The 20,075-nt window shown below is 43.0% G+C and overlaps 1 protein-coding gene across 9 annotated transcripts in view, besides 1 other annotated feature; it reads left to right on the forward strand.

Moving 5' to 3' along the window:
• The window catches only part of KIAA1549L (KIAA1549 like), a 297,995-nt gene that overhangs the window by 148,377 nt on the left and 129,543 nt on the right, over positions 1-20,075 (forward strand). For 4 of the 9 annotated variants that reach the window (XM_047426719.1, XM_005252848.4, XM_047426721.1 and 1 more), the window contains exon 2: positions 17,318-19,870. In XM_047426719.1, coding sequence (XP_047282675.1) covers positions 17,318-19,870 — 2,553 coding nt within the window. The remainder of the gene's footprint in view (positions 1-17,317; positions 19,871-20,075) is intronic. The other 5 variants (NM_012194.3, XM_047426720.1, NM_001410965.1 and 2 more) reach the window with 3 other exon arrangements.
• Positions 1,677-1,756: an enhancer, noted in NCBI's record as "active region_4580". NCBI's record gives its function as "activates an Ori minimal core promoter by ATAC-STARR-seq in GM12878 lymphoblastoid cells {active_cell/tissue: GM12878}" and the evidence as "EXISTENCE:reporter gene assay evidence [ECO:0000049][PMID:35858748]".

The raw sequence follows: 20,075 nt of genomic DNA on the forward strand, positions 1-20,075 counted from the left end.
TATTAGTTCATTTTTTGAGGCGAGAGGAATTTACTATTTCTAATTTTTATATATGAATAAAGAGTTTCTTCTAAAAAGTCTCTTTTAAAATTAAAACATTTCAGTCTATAAATTTTCCTCTAGGTATAGCTTTTACTGTTCCAACTGAGTGTTGGGAGAGTGTTAAAAATTCTTTGACTTAAAAAATATGTATAAAGGGTATACATAAATGCTATATATATTTATGTATCTGCATGTGTATGTCTCTACTTTTTCCTCCCAGCATTTCAGTTAGAGTTAGATTTGTGATAAATCTTAATGGGAAAGTGCTCATTTTGTGACCATGATGAATAAGTCATTTTCAAAACCTCATACTTGCTTGTAAAAATAAGCAGACTGGAGACTTTAGGGGAAAAATCTAATGCAGAAGCATAGTCCGTCTTATTAATGCCACTAAAGCCAGATGGATTGCCTAGGTACTCATTGGAGAATTAGTTAGAGAAAAGGGATTTATCATAAGAAATATGAACAACTTCCAGAGAAGACAGAAAAAGTTGACCAGATTTTTATAGGGGTGAAGAGGAAAATGGCAGATAGGAGACAGGACTAACATGCACCTCCCACGTGGATGGACAGAACAGTGTGTGGGGACTCAAACCATGAACTTGAGCTCCAAGAACCACTACAGGAACATACCAGGAAAACCGAAATAATTCATAGAGTCTTTGAAAGAAGTGGCTTGCCACTGCAGACTCTGTAAGACAGCCCAAAAACTGTGAGCTCCCAGAGTGTGAGAGGGGGAAAAGTTGGTCTCTGACACACATCCCCACTGGAGAACCTGAAAATACAGATCATGGGAGAAGGATTTAACCTTATCTAGAACTGAAACGGTTTTAAGGAGCTGAGAGAAGTATAAAAATAGAAGCAGCAGCAGGAAGAACCCTATAGGGTCTTCCTAGTCCCTAGCTTGAGCCCAGGGAAAGCATTCCTGGCCTTATCTCACAGGAGTCCTTGGGGAAGGCAGCCAGCAGAATTAGAGAGGAGCCACAGGTGATGGAAGCTTCTGGCTGAACTTTGTAATAATTTCGACCTAAGCATAAATTTTCCTGAGTAGAATCTGGTCGGGGTCGGGGGGTGGGGACAAATTGGAAGTGCATATATGAGTGCAGAAGTCACAGCCAAAGCTGCAGGCAGGCAGGGAGAGGTAAAGCCTGACAGCCCCACTTGCTTTCTTGGTGGAGAGGCTTGTTGTCTGGGGCAAGATTTCAGCTCTGCTCACCAGCTGCCTGGATGTATACTTGGTGCTGTTGGTGAGGCATGGTGGGAATGAGACTGGCTTTGCTGGCTGTGTGGGAGCTGGGTGAGGCCTGTCACTGCTGGCTTCCCCCTCTTCCCTGGAAACCTGTATGACACAGCAGAGGCAGCCATAATTCTCCTGGGAACATAACTCTATTGGCCTGAGAACCACCCGCACCGCTGCCTCCCCCACATTCCCCACAGTTGCTGCAGCAAGCCCTGCCCAAAGAGAGTCTGAGTTCAGACCCGCCTACCCCAGCCCCACCTGATGGTTTTTCTCTACCCACCCTGGTAGCCGAAGACATAAGGTCTTGGTAGCTCTATGGCCCCACCTATTGCCTGAGAAACCCAAGTAAGTACTTAACTTGGCCAACATAGGGCAAGCTTATATCCCCCTTCTACTACTGCAGCTTATGCTCTCTTGAAAAGTGCCACCTCCTGTCTGGAGGCCAACCAATTCAAGCCATTACAGCAACTCATAACAGAACAACCCTGCTCCAAAGAAGGAGAAAACAACAGCTAATTCTACCGCCTGCAACATCCTGGGTAACCAGAAGTCCTGAGTCTGTCCATGTGACAACTTCACTGCTAGCATAACCAGCATTTGAGGAAACCAGCACACTAAATGAAACTACAACCAAGGACTCCCACAGAGTCCACTTCACTCCCCTGCCACCTTTACCAGAGCAGGTACTGGTATCCATAGCTGGGAGACCTGAAGACGGATCACATCACAGGACTCTTTGCAGACATTCCCCAGCACCAGCCTGGAGTCTGGTAGCCCCGCTGGGTGGCTAGACCCAGAAGGGCAATAACAATCACTGCAGTCTGTCTCTCAGGAAGCTCCATCCCTAGGGGAATGGGGAGAGCACTACATCAAGGAATCACCCCATGGGACGAGAGCCCTTGAGTTCCAGATTTTTCCACTGAAACTGTCTACCCAAATAAGAAGGAACTATAAAAGTAATTCTGGTAATATGACAAGGTTCTATAACACCCTAAAAGACCACATTAGCTCTCCAGCAATGGATCCAAACCAATAAGAAATCTCTGAATTGCCACATAAAGAAGTCAGAAAGTTGATTATTAAGCTACTCAAGGAGGTACCAGAGAAAAGTGAAAACCAACTTAAAGAAATTTAAAAAATAATAGAGGATATGGATGAAAAAGTCTCCAGAGAAATAGATATTATAAAGAAAAGACAATCATAACTTTTGGAAATGAAAGACATACTTACAGAAATGCAAAATACACTGGAAAGTTTCAACAATAGAATCAAGCAAGTAGAAGAAAGAACTTCAGAGGATGAAGACAAGGCTTTTGAATTAACCTAATCCAACAAAGACAAAGAAAATGGAATTGAAAAAATGAACAAAGCCTCCAAGAAATTTGGGATTATGTGCAAATGACCCAAACACAAAAATAATTCGTGTTCCCAAGAAAGAAGAGAAATCAAAAAGTTTGGAAAACTTATTTGAGAGAATAATTGAGGAAAATGGAGCAGAATAGAGAACCCAGAAATAAAGCCAAATACGTATAGCCAACTGATCTTCAACAAAACAAACAAACAATGTAAAATGGGGAAAGGATACCTTATTCAACAAATGGTGCTGGGATAATTGGCTAGCCACATGTAGAGGAGTGAAACTGGATCCTCATATCTCACCTATACAAAAATCAACTCAAGATGGATCAAGGACTTTAAGACCTGAAATCATAAAAATTATAAAAGATAACATTGGAAAAACTCTTCTAGACATTGACTTAGGCAAAGAGTTTATGGCAAGAACCCCAAAGCAAATGCAACAAAAACAAAGATAAATAGATAGGACCTAAGTAAACTAAAAAGCTTCTGCACAGCAAAACAAATAATCAGAGTAAATACAGCCCACAGAATGTGAGAAAATATTCACAAACTTTGCATCTGACAAAGGACTAATATCCAGAATCTACAAGGAATTCAACAAATCAGCAAGAAAAAAACAAATAATTCCATCAAAAAGTGGGTTAAGGACGTGAATAGACAATTCTCAAAAGAAGATGGTACAAGAAAAGAAGATGGTACATATTACAAATGGTAATATGGTTTGGCTGTGTCTCCACCCAAGTCTCATCTTGAATTGTAGCTCCTATAATTCCTATGTGTCATGGGAGGAACCTGCTGAGAAGTAATTGAATCATGGGGGCGAGCCTTTCCTGTGCTGTTCTCATGATAGTGAATAAGTCTCACGAAATCTGATGGTTTTATAAAGGGGAGTTCCCCTACACAAGCTCTCTTGCTTGCTGCCACTTAAGATGTGACTTTGCTCCCCATTCACCTCCAGCCATGATTGCGAGGCCTCCCCAGCCATGTGGAACTGTGAGTCAATTAAACCTTTTTTCCTTTATAAATTACCCACTCTCAGGTATGTCTTTATTAGTAGCATGAAAACAGACTAATACAAATGGCCAACAAACTATGAAAAAATGCTCAAGATCACTAATTATCAGAGAATGCACATCAAAACCACAATGCAATACCACCTTACTCCTGCAAGAATGGCCATAATTAAAAAATCAAAACATAAGAAATGTTGGTATGGATGTGGTGAAAAGGGAATACTTCTACACTGTTGGTGGGAATGTAAACTAGTACAACCACTATAGAAAACAGTATGGAGATTCCTTAAAGAACTGAAAGTAAAACTGCCTTTTGATCCAGCAATCCCGCTACTGGGTATCTACTCAGAGGAAAAGAAGTCATTGTATGAAAAAGACATTTGCACATGCATGTTTATAGCAGCACAATTCACAACTACAAAGTATGGAACCAGCCTAAATGCCCATCAACCAATGAGTGGATAAAGAAAAAGATACATATAGATATACACCATGGAATACCACTCAACCATAAAAAGGAATGAAATAATGGCATTTGCAGCAACCTGGATGGAGCTGGAGACCATTATTCTAAGTGAAGTAACTTGGGAATGAAAAACCAGTGTACGTTCTCACTTATAAGCAGAAGCTAAGCTATGAGAATGCAAAGGCAGAAGAATGATATAATGGACTCTGGGGACTCCGGGGGAAAGGTGTGAGGGTGGTGAAGGATAAAAGACTACACGTTGGGTACAGTGTATACTGCGTGGTTGATGGGTAAATCTCAGAAATCACCACTAAAGAACTTTTCCATACAACCAAACAGCACCTGTTCCCCCAAAATTATTGAAATGTTTTTTAAAAATTTAAGAAACCAAAACTATTTTTTTAAAAAAGAAAAAGTTGACCACAAAAGTGGGAGTATAAGAATTTATTGGCTAGGCATGGTGGCTTATGCCTGTAATCTCAGCACTTTGGGAGGCCTAGGCAGGCAGACCACTTGAGCTCAGGAATTTGAGACCAGCCTGGCCAACAAAGCAAATGCCCATCTCTACAAAGAATACAAAAATGAGACGAGTGTGGCGGTATGTCCCTGTAGTCCAGCTACTCGGGAGGCTGAGGTGGAAGCATCATCTGAGCCCAGGAGGTTGAGGCTGCAGTGAGCCATGAGCATGCTACTGCACTCCAGCCTGGATGACAGAATGAGACCCTGTTTCAAAAAAAAAAAAAATTATTATCACAGTTTAGGCAAGAGATGCAACTCAGAAACGTCTTAATTAGATTTTGCTCTTCTGGATGGCAATCATGATAACAAATGTTTATTGACTGCTGACATATACCAAGTTATGTTCCAAATACTCTTAAAGGATGAATGCCTTTAAGCCTCAAAACAGTCTTGTGAGACACATGTTATTATCCTCTTCTTAGAAAGGAGCAAACAGACACAGAGAGGTCATGTAACTTGCCTGACTTTTTACAGCTGGAACAAGGCAATTGGATCAGGAACTCGGATGCTGTGTCTCCAGATCCCACATGCTAAACTGTGACACTTGAGTACCTTCATGGTGAGGATCACAGCTTGTAAATCTTTTATGATGGGGTGATTTCCAGAGGAAGCGTCCCATAAATATTTGTGGAATAAATAACCAAATGATTGAGCAAATAAGGGAGATAACTGGCTAGCTATCATACTAAGCAGAAAGGGAAAAGTACTCTAATAGAGCTAGAAATAAGGAGTTGTGGGAACAATGACATGTTAATTAGGGGACTCTCACTTAGAAGAGGTTTACATTTAGGCCTTTACAAAATGGTGTGAAGCCCTAGTAAGATGTTTAGTCTTTTTGCCCAATTCTCTAGGCCCCTATTACTGCTTTCCTTTTAAAGGTATGGTATTTTCTGTATCCTCAAAGTCTTTCCTGCCTAATGGATTTAAGTGGACTTGACTCCCCTTTGGGCCATTAGCATCAAATAGTAAAAATTAATATGAAACCTTGGGGCCGGGCGCGGTGGCTCACGCCTGTAATTCCAGCACTTTGGGAGGCTGAGGCGGGTGGATCATGAGGTCAGGAGATCGAGACCATCCTGGCTAACACGGTGAAACCCCATCTCTACTAAAAAATACAAAAAAAAAAAAATTAGCCGGGCGTGATAGCAGGCACCTGTAGTCCCCGCTACTCAGGAGGCTGAGTCAGGAGAATGGCATGAACCCAGGAGGTGGAGCTTGCAGTGAACCGAGTTTGCGCCACTGCACTCCAGCCTGGGCAACAGAGCGAGACTCCGTCTAAAGAAGAAGAAGGAAAAAAAAAAAAAAAAAAAAAAATATATATATATATATATATATATATATATATATATATATATATATATGCAAGATTTGCAAGTACCACTGTCCTAGTTTTAAAAGTCAGTTATTGGTAGTTAATACTGTGTTCTGTGGTTGACTTTAAACTTATTAATGACCCTGTCAGAAAGATGCCGGGAGAAGAAGAGAGAAGAACCCCCCTAAGTCCCATTGGTTTACTTTTCTTGACACAGATAATATATTTCCAAACAAGTGACCTTCTGTGTGTGTGATGTCCTAGCCCAAAAGAGGTCATTGTGGCCGCCCTACCTGCTGCATAGGGATTGTGATGACAAAATTAGGAGACACTGAAATTCTGAAAATTTATAATCAAGCTGTATTGTAACAGTCGAGGATTGGTAAACAAATTATAATGCCACATCTTAGTGGAGATAATATGCAACCTTATCCAATATGGAAAAATGATTTTGTTATGTTAAAAGAGAAAAGGCAGTGCGAAGTTGGATGTGCATTGTGATCACAGGTCTGTCCAGCAAGCAAACCAAAGCTTTTCCAAGAACATCATCTGGAAATAAAATTTACCACAGTATGAGTCATGGTTTTCTTGATGCGGTGGGATGTGCACGTGGTCAGGGCAGAGGGAGGAATGGAATTCTTCTTCTTTTCTTTCTATTTTTCCATCTTTTCTAAATTTTCTGTAATGATCATGTAAACCCAGGTTAAAAAGAAGTGAAAGTGAAATTCTATTACTTTTAAAATGGGGAGGCAGAGAGGCCAGTTGCGGTGGCTCACGCCTGTAATCCCAGCACTTTCAGACGCCAAGGCAGGTGGATCTTTGAGGTCAGGAGTTGGAGAACAGCCTAATCAATATGGTAAAACCCCGTCTCTACTAAAAATACAAAAAATTTAGCCAGCCATGATGGCGGGTGCCTGTAGTCCCAGCTACTTGGGAGGCTGAGGCAGGAGAATTGCTTGAACATGGGAGGCGGAGGTTGCAGGAGCCGAGATTGCGCCACTGCACTCCAGCCTGTGCGAGGAATGAGACTCTGTCTCAAAAAAATAAATAAGTAAAATAAAATGGGGAGGGAGAGGTATCAGCTTTATTTTTAAACCTGATTCCACAAAAGATTACCAACAAACTTTTTTAAAAAAGAAATAGCTGTGAAAGAGCTTTGAAAGTTAAAATGCTTCTATCAGTGCAGTCAACAGAATCTTCTATTTGCTGGCATCACTTCAAGGCATGGCAATTTGATTCTATTGACTGGTGCATTTCGTTTTAAAAAGCCCCAAGAGGAATCACGTTAGGCAAGAAGGTCCCAGGTGCCAAACTTCAGCACTTAGGGCCGTGGAAGGGTTTGGCGCCTAAGTGGGTTGGGTGTGGGTGGATGCTTCAGCATAGCTGTGGCTCTTAGTCCATCTCTTTTGACCTTCTGGGAACGGAAGCCTGACGGGTCTTGGTGATTTAGAGCCGTGCTCAGTAATGTTTGCCAAAACAGCCCTGGAGAGAGACACATCATCAAACTCTGAAGAATGAGGCAGCTCTGTGGGCCCCAGTCTTCTCAGACCACTCTGGGAGAGTGGAGCCCGCCCCAGATCTGGAGATGGAGGAAGACTGACTCCTTCCCACGTGGTGCAGAGAGCCTCGGCTCTGGAGTCCCAGGGCTGAGTCACACTAGGCTGCAGAATAACTCTTGGTGTGACCTTGACTAAGCCAGCCCTTGCCCTCTCTGAGCTCTGGTTTCCTCATTGGTAAAATGGAGATAATCTTGATTCTCTATCTCACAGGTACTATGGAAGAACAAGGTGAGGTGATAGATATGAAAATATCCTGCCAACTATGAGGCATGCACAGATGTTTGAGATTCTGACAATCCATGATTTGCAGGGATTTCTGAGTGCTGACTGGAACCCTGGTCCTCTGAGCAAAACTTTGATGGCATCTATGCCTAGCCTGGACTGAACAAATAATGATAATAATAACAGCAACAGTAGTAACACTTTTTGACCACTATGTGCTGTATAAGCACTATTCTAAGGACTTTACGCGTATCAGCTCATTTTAACCCTTAAAACCATTCGTGAGGTAAGTACTGTAATTATCCCCATTTTACAGATAAGGAAACTGGCACACAGAGATGTTAAGTAACTTGTCCAAGGTTACTCAGTTAGCAAATGGAGAAGTGGGATTTGAATCCAGCCAGTCTGATTCTAGGGCCTGATCAAAAGCTGCAGATATTTTTCTCTGACATACAAGGGAGAGGAGTTTGGCATCTCCATGAATGTTTCTTAATTGGTTTCCTTCGTTTATTTTGTTAAAGAGCTATTAGTGATCTAGTTTGCTTTTCTTTAAGTGCTGCCGTTAAGGAAACCTGCCAGTGGGCAGTGAATAGGACAAAGTGGATTGTCTTGTGACTGTTGTGGGAAATGCAGCCATGCTTATACTGACACCTTGGGAAGATTTTCTTCTCCCTCAGTGTTTCCAGCAGTCAAAGAAAGGGACACTGCTGATTGAGAAAGAACCACCACTGTGGCTGGATTACAAGAGTAGTTTTGAGCAAACCAGGAAGCAATCCAGGGCAGCATTGAACCTGAAGGGAGAGTACTCCTTAAGTAGCAGACTCTGGGGTCTGTGATAAAAGCATCATGACCAGGGGACTGATATAGCCCTAGGCCTGATGGGGGAGAGGTTCAGACAGGAGGTAACAGCAGAAGGGGAGCCAGATCAGTACATGTGCACTTCCTTGAGGTTAAAGTTCTGTTTGCTACATGGCGGGAATAATTAGAGTGTAGCAGCATCACAGCCCGGGTCTGAGTCTTGTGTACAAGAACTGAGAATGATAAACTAGCAGCGCGAAGAGCCTCAGGAAGACAGAGGCCTGAACAATCTGTCATTATGCATGTGGTTCCTGAGATGTGGGGAGTCTCAGGAGGCAGTTTGCACTGTTTTTTGACATTAGTCAATAACAGGTTCTGTGTGTCCAAACCTGGCTAAGCACTTTCTTAATTCCTTTTATGTTTCACAGTGATAATAAACTGCTCTCTGATGCGTTTAGTTCAAGGCTAAGTTTAACATTCATGGGATTCTATGCAAATTTGCAAAGCACAGAAAAACATTTGATACTTACCCTGCATGTGCATACATGCACGTGATCCTAATTTGTGGAAGTTATTAAGCCTGATAGCCTTACTGGGGTGACTTGTCACTTTCCTGAAGCTCTGAGAATCATGGTTTTATTTCAGCTTGTCTGGCTCAGACAAGCTTAGTGAAAATGTATGTGTATAAATTGTGTATTGAATAGGGTTTTGTATGACTACCCATTCTTGTCTCCTTGAGATGGGAGGGATGACTCATTTTAACTTTTTATTATTTTGAGAGTCTTTATCTTGCTTGCTTTCACCCTTGTTTCCAACGTAAATCCATCTCTGTTTCCTATCTTTCCTCATCCAGCACCTCCTTAAATTTCTTATCATTTAAGCTACTTTCCAGCAAAATTCTTTAGACGACTAATTCCCCCTTGTGGGAAATACTGTCGGTCCAAACACAAGGGGATTGTTGGCTTGTCCCTGGTTGGGCAATCATTGTAAACATTCAGAAAAGGCAGCCAGTTTGGGGCTTGTGCAGCAAACCATTACTGTCTGTCTCCCTCTCATATGTGTAGGATTTACCTTTGCTTTCCACAATTTTTTTTTTGAGACAGAGTCTTGCTCTCTGGAGTGCAGTGGTGTGATCTTGGCTCACTGCAACGTCTGCCTCCCAGGTTCAAGTTATTCTCCTGCCTCAGCCTCCTGAGTAGCTGGGATTACAGGTTCCCACCACCACGCCCAGCTAATTTTTTTTTTTTTTGTATTTTTTGTAGAGATGGGGTTTCACCGTGTTGGTCAGGCTGGTCTTGAACCCCTAACCTCAAGTCATCTGCTCCCCCTTGGCCTCTCAAAGTGCTGAGATTACAGGCATGAGCCACCGCACCTGGCCGCTTTCCACAATTTTTTTGAAGACTATTACCGTATTTGTGAGCAAACAGTAATTCATGTCATTTAGTCTAAGTAGAAGAAAGTCATGGTTTTTTGGGGGAAAGGAGAGACACTGGGGAGTCAGTGGAAGTTTATTGATAAAAACTAAAATTCTGTAATTTGGCTAGAATGGCTTAGTATTTTTTTTCTTGAAAAATGGAATTAAAAAATAAGAGTACAGCCTGTTTCATAGCAACATTTCAATGCGTTTGCTGGTGTGGTTTTGTTTCTACTCTTGCAAAGCTCTGTTTTCTCTTTAAATAACTTCCTCCAAGTCTCAGGTGCTATGTTACAATCTTTATTTCATGACTCATTCTCTATGATGTTCCAAACAAACTTACTGACTTGTGCTGCTTTTTGACTGTCTTGATGGCAAACTCTCACCATTCTTTAGTCATGATACCTTGTGATCTCCCTTCTTCCTACTCTCCTGCTTCACCATACAACATTCCAAAGCTCCCTGCTTCCTACCTGTATTAGTTTTCTATTGCTATGTGACAAATCCCCACAAGCTTTGTGGCTTAAAACAACATACATTTATTATCTCACAATTTCCATGAGTTGAGAGGCTGGACACAGCTTATCTGCACAGGGTCTCACAGGGCTGCATACATGGTATTGGCTGGGCTGTGTTCTCATCTGGAGGCTTGGCTGGGGAAGAATCCACTTCCAAGCTCACTCAGGTTGTTGGCATAATTCATTTCTTTGTGGCTGCCAGACTGAAGGCTTTGACTTATTTCTGGCTATCAGCTCTAAGAGGCTGTTCATGGTTCCTAGAGACACCAGTAGTTCCTAGAGGCCACCCACAGTTCTCACCAGCTGGGCTTTCCCATTGTGGCCTCTTACTTTATCAAGGCACCAAGAAGAAGTCTGCTTGCAATATGCGGTATTATATATGATCATATAATCACAAGAGTTACATCCCATCTCCTATTCTGTTGTTAGAAGAAATCACAGGTTGGCTGGGCATGGTGGCTCATGCTGGTAATCTCAGCACTTTGGGAGGTCATGGCGGGAAGATCACTTGAGCCCAGGAGTTCAAGAGCAGCCTGGGTGACATGGCGAAACCCGTCTGTACAAAAAATACAAAAATTAGCTGGGCTTGGTGGTGCGTGCCTGTCGTCCCAGCTATTAGGGAGGCTGAGCTGAGAGGAACCCTTGAGTCCAAAAGATTGAGGCTGCAGTAGGCCATGATCACACCTCTGCAGTCTAGCCTGGGTGGCAGAGTGAGACCCTGTCCCCCCTCCAAAAAAGAAAAAAGAAAAAGTCACAGGTTCTCCTCATACCCAAAGAGAGTGGATCACAAAAGGCATGACCACCAGGAGATGGAGATCATGGGGTCACATTAGAGTCTGCCTGACATACCACCTAGATCAAATTTTTACTTCAGTGCCTTCCTAAAGTGTGTTTTAAGTTCTCTGTAATTTGGTTTTGCCCTATTTCTCCTAATTTATTTTCTCCTTCTCCCTAATAAACATCAGCTATCTCTCATTTCCTCCTCAAAATTTGTGTTTCTGTCTTATGGCCTTCCATAATGCAACTTTAATTAATACAGATATGTTTTACCTAATTAGCGTAGACATAATTCTAAAATCTTATGTATAAAGCAAAATTATTTTTCATTGAAGTGAAGGGTTCTTAACCAATTTTTGGCTTCTGAATCCTTTTGAGAATCTGATTAAAGCTATAGAGACTCATTTCCCAGAAGTGAGGGACACGACCACACATATACTATTTCAGTTATTATTACAGTACAACAAGCCACCCCTGGCTCAGTGCTGTAATACAACAAGCATTTTATTATGCCCATGGTTTTGGGAATTCAGACAGGGCACAGTGCGGATGGCTTTTCCCTGCCTCATGATGTCTGGGCCTCAGTTGGGACGATTCAGACAGCTGGAGTGATTCAAATGGTTAGGGGAAGAATGGTCTGGAGGTTTCCTCATTCATGTGTCTGTTGTCTGGGCTGGCATGCCAGGCAGGCTTGGCTCAGCTGGGACTGTGGATTGGAGTGGTCAGGCATAGCCTCTCCACGTGGTGTGGGCTGCTCACAGAGTGGGGGCTGGCTTCCAGGAGAGAGAGAGGGAACATCCCAAGAGCGAGCATTCCAGGAGACCAAGCTAAAGTGGCTTGGCCTTTGATGATGTTGCTTTGGAAGTCACGTGGCATTATTGGTCAAACAGACTCAAGCCCACTCAGATTCAAGGAGAGGGGACATAGACACCACCTCTTAATGGGAGGCATAAAGGAGAAAAAACTCAAAACATTGCATGTGTAAACACAAACTATTTAAATCAATAATAGAATCTGGAACTCTGAGAATTGAAAGGGACCATAAAGGAGGATCTGTTTCCATCTCCCATGCAGGGCTCAACTCCTCTTTACAACATTCCCGTCGTCTTGAGCCTGGACCACTGCAGGTGTTTTCTAAGCACTCTGCCATCAGCCATTGTCTCTTTCCCGTCTGTTCTTCATGCCAGGATGGTTTTTCCAAAACAGAAATTTGCTCCTGTGCATCACCTGCTCGCATCCTCCCCACCAAACTAAAACCTACAAAGCTGCAGAGGGAGGTGATGGCTACTGGAGCAATGGTCCGGCTGTCGCCTCCCTCTGCAGCCTTAATCTTGCCCACCTGCTGTTCTTGATCTAGCTGTGGTTACCTTTTATCAGTTCCTTGTACTCGTGATGCCTCTTCCTGCCATAGGGCCTTTGCATATGCTTGTTCCTTTATGTGGAATGCTTTTCCCTACCCTCTTTGCTTGGTTAACTTTTATTCATTCTTTGGATCTTGATAGTCACTTCCTCAGGGATGTGCTTTCTGACCTCCCTGATCAGATCACAGGACTATGGATCTTTCATCTGTAACATCATTTTTCATTTGAAAAATGCTGGTGTCCATATCTCCCATAGAACTGTGAGTTCCATGAAGCTGGAGACCATGTATGTTTTTCCTTAAGACGTTGCTTAACTCAGTGTCTGGCATACAACAGGCATTTGCAGATGGAAGGTAGAAAAGGAGGGAGGGAAGAAAGGAAGGAAGGAAAGGTGAGATGAGATGAGTGAACCTAAAATATGCACTTTGGGGAATTTCTAATGGTGGAGAATTCACTGACTTTAAGCCAGCTCATTTGGTTTTCAGTAGTTTTAATAATTAGGGAAATGTTCTGTTATTATTAAGTTCTAATCTCTCTCTTTATACCTTCTTCCCACTGTCCCTAGTTCTGTCCCTGGAGCACTAAATAACACATCCAGTTTCTTTTTCACATGTTTTAGGGAGATTGTGGTTTCTTGAATCAGTCTTTTCAAATGTTTACTGACATAATTAATACCTGCTATAACAGTGAAGGGTAAACTGATACCCCAGGGTCAGTGACAGGCACAGACATGTCTTTGAAGGCCTTAGTTTTATCTTGGATCAGTCATTTGAATTTTGCATTCTACTCAAGAATGTATATTTATCTTTATATATGAGTATGTTTCCCCTAAATCTTTAAATAAAGTTGATACTTTGGAATGATATGTGTATTAGTCCATTTTCATGCTGCTGTAAAGACATACCCGAGACTGGGTAATTTATAAAGGAAAGAGTTTTAATTGACTCACAGATCAGCATGGCTGGGGAGGCCTCAGGAAACTTACAATTATGGTGGAAGGTGAAGGGGAAGCAAGGCACCTTCTTCACAAGGTGGCAGGAAGGTAAAGTGCTGAGTGAAGTGGGGAGAGCCCCTTATAAAACCAGATCTCGTGAGAACTCACTCACTATCCTGAGAACAGCGTGGAGGAAACTGCCCCAATGATTCAATAACCTCGACCTGGTCTTTCCCTTGACATGTGGGGATTATGAGGATTACAATTCCAGATGAGATTTGGGTGGAGACACAAAGCCTAGCCATATCAATATGCTTTTTCAGTCATGAAGTTTTGAGTACCACCAGGGATCTCCTCACTCCAGTGTGCAAATGGGGACTCTCCCTTTATTAACCGTTTTCCTTTTTATAATGTAAAACACCTCCAAAAAGATCATGTACTAGCACGTATCAGTTTCTTAATGTTTTTCTTAAGATGTGACACTCAGAAATCATCCCAGCTGACCAGGTATGCGCTGAGTAGGGCAGAGAATGGTGAACCTGATCCCCTTGAAAATCAACTAATTTTTAAAAATTCAACCTATAATGGTGGTTATCTCTGGGGAGAAGAAAGACAGAGGGAATCCAGAGAGATACCAGGGACAGGGCTCTAAAAATATTGACTCTGTTGTTAAGCTAAGAGGCACATGAGTGTTGATTTCCTATAGATATTATTTTCTAAATATAGATACTTCCATATAGATATTTTACATGTAGATATTATTTTCTAAGTATGAACTATTCTTCTAGTTAAAGAGTAAAAAAAATTAATGTAACCTAAGGATTTGTCATTTCCTTGCCGGCCTATATTTCTCTTTTAGTTCATAAGGAACTCTAGTCAACTCTGCCTACAGATAGCATAGGCTATTCTTAAAGGGAAGTGCCCCCGTCCTGTTCCTGTCTAGGTAATTTTTGGACTAAGGGCAAGCCTTTCTGTTTAATCCTAATATATGTCTTCCTTTAGTAATAATTTCAGTCTGTTGACATGTCTTTGAAACATGTTTTTCTGAAATTCTTCAAATCAGTTCTTCTGAATTTGGCATCATTTGGTAATTCAGTGAACATGCTTTCTCCCTTGGCTTTATGTGGATCATTGAGCATTTTTTTTTAAGTCAGTCAATTCTGAGGTTAAATATTTCTGAGAAATATCCCAAACATATTGCAGCAGTCAAATATGTTTGAGAAATATTGGCTAAACAAAGTTTAATTAAACCATCCAATATCCTATTTATTAATTTTTTACTATATACCTCTTATGTTTTCTTGACTATGAGAGTTTTCTGAGCCTTTATTTACATGATGATGGGAATATGCCCACATAAATTCCAAATCTACTCTGGTATCACTTTCTGAATAGGTTAGGGTAAGGTAGATTATGTTTCAATGACAACCTCCAAATTGCAGTGACATAAAATAGCAAAGGCTAACTTCTTGCTTGTGCTACCTATATATCCTTTGTCAGCAGAGTCCATAGGGGATGCAGGCTGGTGAACCAGCAAACACTTTGAACATTGCTACTTTCTTCTTTCTCTTCTTTCTTTGCCTCCTCCTTCTGTTTTTCAGTAGCAACTTCCTGAAATATGTTGCTAGGTTTTGTTTCTTTTTGTTTTGTTTTGCTATGGAGAAAGAAAGTTCCGGAGAGTCTTCCTCCAGCACTTAAATGTTCTAGCCCAGAAGTGACACTTGTCATTTCTGCTTACAAACTCATTGGCTGGAACTAGTTACATGGCCCCCATCAACCACAGAAGTATCCAAGACGTTCAGTCCTCCCATGGGCTTAGAAGTGGGAGAGCCGGAAAGATATGGTCAGCATCATTAATGACTTTCACATGTGAATGTCAAGCACTTCTCAAGATTGTTCATAGAAACTTTTCTTCATGAGACATTTGGAATACTGTGTTTCATAGGAGCTATCTTGGGAAACACTAGTTTCTAGTGTGGAAAACAACAAGGTCCAGTAGAAGCAAATCCACTAGAGACTGCCTTTCTTCACTTCAGCATGGAGTTTTCCATCAGTCTCTCTTGGCCGTGGTCATTCAGTCAGTTACAGATCCCTTGGTATTAGCCCCTATTCCTCCATCCTGTTTGCAGAATTTTTGTGTGTGTGTGTGTGAAAGAGTTTGCAAAACTTCCTGCTGAAAGCAAAAGCTGCTCAGCCTGTAGCATCCTTTTCCTGAGTTACAAGGCTATGTAACTGAAACAAGATGAATTTGTTTTGATTCTGAATCCATAAGTTGGACTCATGGTTGAATCCATTTAAACAAAGGTACAAAAGAAGAAATCCTACACAGATTTCACCTGACATCCACATAAAAGTGGATTCTAAAGTTTAACTGAAAAATACAAAAATGCAAAAGTACCTTATACAGATGTTATATTTACCCATATAAGTAACCAGATAAGACTGCATGCAAAGTGTGAAATTGAGGCTATCTAGGAGATAAGCAACATGAACAGGGAGGATTGAGGCATGAAAGCAGCATCCACCTTCTGTGTAAAATTGCAAGTGTCTGAGGGGGGAATACCTCCTTAGGCTGCATGTGGTAACATAGAAACACAATTTCCATTGCAAACCATGAAGCAGTTCCTAAGGAGGGCATGCATTTTAATGAAATACTATGCAGACTTTAGTGTCTTGGAGCTATATATGCATTTTATCACTTATTTCTATTTGAGGTGGGCCAGTGGAGGCCAGAGGGAGCTTTGGCTCTTCAGAAAGCACCCCAATGATCCTGATCTGGTGATCAGGAGACAGTCAGGCTGAGCTGGGCATATGATTACGGCCTGCCTAGGAGATGGAGTTGGTTTCTCTTATAAAATCAAGTCAACAAACCTGATGTAGTATTGGCTTATACCCTGATGAGTTCTAAAAATGATGTAAGGCCAATTTCTTGGGTATCCGTAAACCCCAAGAATGGGGAATTTTAAAGAAAAGGAAGAATGAGAAAGGAATTTTTCAGAATATTGCCTAATTCAGAGTGAACTTCTAGCTTTCCAAGAGTTGTTTCCTCGCCTCCTTTTTAGCGGAGGTCACCAGCTTATGCCCTGCCTCCTTGTCTGTCTGCCTGTGGGGCCACACATGAGTGTTGATATTTCTGGCCTCTGCAGGTGCTTATAGTGACACCAGGCCCTGTGAGAAGTGTCTCCTTCCTGGTTTTTCTTTCTGAAATAGCCTAATCTGAAAGAAAATCTCCTTTGCTATTTGACATGGCATGAATGATAGCACCTGGAATCCTTTTAAATCCAGGAAGATAAATATGTTTCATTGGAGCCATCTTTCCAAACGCAGACAACCTCAAATATTTCATATGAGATGCCTCAGGGTCCTAAAAAAGATTCGTGCTTGAATACACAGTTCTTCTTTAGTTTCGTGCATTTTGGTTTCCTGGATGAGGTTGTTTTGGTGTCATTGGCCATGGCAGTTGACCACATTCAGCTTTGCAAGTTTCACAGTCCACGCCTTGTAGGTGGTACCAAAACAATTTTTTAATACACAAGTATTTTCAACATCTTGCCTTAAGCATCACTTCATCAGAAACTGCTTCCCACCAACCCTGCCCTGTAGGTTCACTGCAACATTTTCCTACTTGATATTATGTAATTTGTTGTTTGACTCTGTTTCCTGAGCCTTCTGTGATGGGTCCGGGCAGAGCCTGTCTTGCACACACCTTTGTCTCCAGCACCTGACCACAGCAGGCACTTCATGAGCATCCAACACCTGACGGCCTGATATTTTGTTTCACAGGAACAGACAATCTACAGATGAATGTCACCCGGACTCCAGAGTCATTTCCTCCCGGGAAATTGTTACCAATTTCACCAACATGGCCTTTCACAGAAGTCAGGTCTTCCTCAGCAGCAGACAGAATCAAGACCGTGCTGGGACAGTCCTCTGACAACACAAGCTTGCCACAGTCAGCCCGAACCCCTGCGTCCAAGACACACCACAGAACTAGGGCTCACGCGGACTTCTCTTCTTCCCTTTACCAAGGAAGCGGACATAGCGCCTCCCTCGAACCTTCCAAGGATTCTACCGAGTCCCTGGTCCAACCGGGGCCTAAAGGGGGACAAGAAGCAGCCGATGTGTCAGGTTTGCCTCTCACCAGCATGCTCCCCTCGTTGTCCACAGTCCCATCAGGGACATCCTTCAGTGCTGTCCCCCCATCCCAGCCAGTATGGGCAGGGACTTCCTCCATTTCAAAGCATCCCCCAAGGTCAGACATTCCCCCACTCCTCCCTCTACCTCCATCCTCTTCATTGGCTCCTGACTCACCTCATTCCATCATCTCTGAGCCAGCAGAGCAATCCCCCAAAGTGCTGTTAGTTCCCCAAACAGCTCCAGCCGACCCCTCTTTAGGTCAGAACATAGCTAATCCCTTAATCCCATTTTCTGATGAAATGGACCACACTGCATCCCAAAATGCCCAGGATCTCATAGGCATCCCTCATCTAGGTGTTTCTGGATCCTCAACAAAATGGCATTCCGAGCTGTCCCCAACAGAGGGTCCCCATTCAGCAGGTTCATCCACACCTGGGTTTTTGAGCCCCATGGCAGAACTGTCCCATCCGTCTCCCCCTCCCCCAGCACTTGGAAGTCTTCTTCAGCTTCCAGATGGAAGCCCCTCATGGTCAATGTTGGAAGTGGCTTCAGGTCCTGCATCCACCCAGCAGATCAAAGCTGGGGTGCCTGGAAGAGTGCACAATGGGGTGTCTTTGCCAACTTTTAAGAATACAGAAACAGCGACCCATGAGGCTGAGCCTCCACTTTTCCAGACTGCAGAATCAGGGGCCATAGAAATGACCAGCAGAAAGCTAGCCTCTGCCACTGCAAATGACTCTGCTAACCCGCTGCATTTGTCAGCAGCTCCAGAGAATTCCAGAGGGCCCGCCCTTTCGGCAGAACACACCTCTTCTTTGGTGCCTTCTCTGCATATCACCACACTGGGTCAAGAGCAAGCCATCCTTTCTGGGGCGGTTCCCGCATCACCATCAACTGGGACAGCCGACTTTCCCTCCATACTTACTTTCCTCCAGCCCACAGAGAATCATGCCTCCCCATCTCCTGTGCCAGAAATGCCCACTCTTCCAGCAGAGGGCAGTGATGGGTCCCCTCCTGCAACTAGAGACTTGCTCCTCTCAAGCAAAGTTCCTAATCTTCTTTCCACATCTTGGACATTTCCCCGGTGGAAAAAGGACAGTGTGACAGCCATTTTAGGGAAGAATGAAGAGGCAAATGTGACGATTCCTCTCCAGGCCTTTCCAAGGAAAGAGGTTTTGAGTCTTCACACTGTAAATGGATTTGTCTCTGATTTCAGCACCGGTAGTGTCTCATCTCCCATCATTACAGCACCAAGGACGAATCCCCTTCCTTCAGGACCACCTCTACCTTCCATACTCTCCATACAAGCCACCCAGACTGTTTTCCCATCTCTTGGCTTTTCCAGCACCAAGCCAGAGGCTTATGCAGCTGCTGTGGACCATTCTGGGTTGCCAGCTTCAGCTTCCAAACAGGTGAGAGCATCGCCCTCCTCCATGGATGTATATGATTCCTTAACAATAGGAGACATGAAAAAGCCAGCAACCACAGATGTTTTCTGGAGTTCTCTTTCAGCAGAAACTGGATCTCTTTCCACAGAATCAATAATATCTGGCTTGCAGCAGCAAACAAATTATGATTTAAATGGACACACAATTAGCACCACAAGTTGGGAAACTCATTTAGCTCCAACAGCTCCTCCCAATGGTTTAACTTCAGCTGCCGATGCCATAAAATCTCAGGATTTCAAAGATACTGCTGGGCATTCAGTGACTGCAGAAGGGTTTAGTATTCAGGATCTAGTCCTCGGTACAAGCATTGAGCAGCCTGTGCAACAGTCAGACATGACCATGGTTGGAAGCCATATAGACCTCTGGCCCACAAGCAATAACAACCATTCCAGAGACTTCCAAACAGCTGAAGTTGCATATTACTCACCCACAACTCGACATTCCGTGTCTCATCCTCAGCTACAGTTGCCCAACCAGCCAGCACATCCTCTTTTGCTAACCTCACCAGGACCAACTTCTACAGGTAGCTTGCAGGAAATGCTTTCAGATGGAACAGATACAGGTTCTGAAATTTCCAGTGACATCAATTCATCACCTGAGAGAAATGCTTCCACACCATTCCAGAACATCTTGGGATATCACTCTGCTGCTGAATCTTCTATATCGACCAGTGTCTTTCCCAGGACCTCCTCCAGAGTGCTGCGGGCTTCTCAGCACCCCAAGAAATGGACAGGTGCAGCCACTAATGCAGGTAGTTTGTTTCCCGGTACCCCCAAAACAGGCATGACTGCTTTTGTGGTCAAAGCATCTTCAAGCTCAACGCAGATACCAGCTTTGCTCTGAAGGAGCTCATACCCCCGATCAGGAATGAGTTAGTAGCCCCAAGTAGTCACCTCATTGATCCTGTGCCCACCTGAGCTTTCGAAACTATTCACAATGTAAGCATCCTTGCTATC

This window comes from Homo sapiens, chromosome 11 (assembly GCF_000001405.40).
Source record: "Homo sapiens chromosome 11, GRCh38.p14 Primary Assembly".
Taxonomy (NCBI): Eukaryota; Metazoa; Chordata; class Mammalia; order Primates; family Hominidae; genus Homo; species Homo sapiens.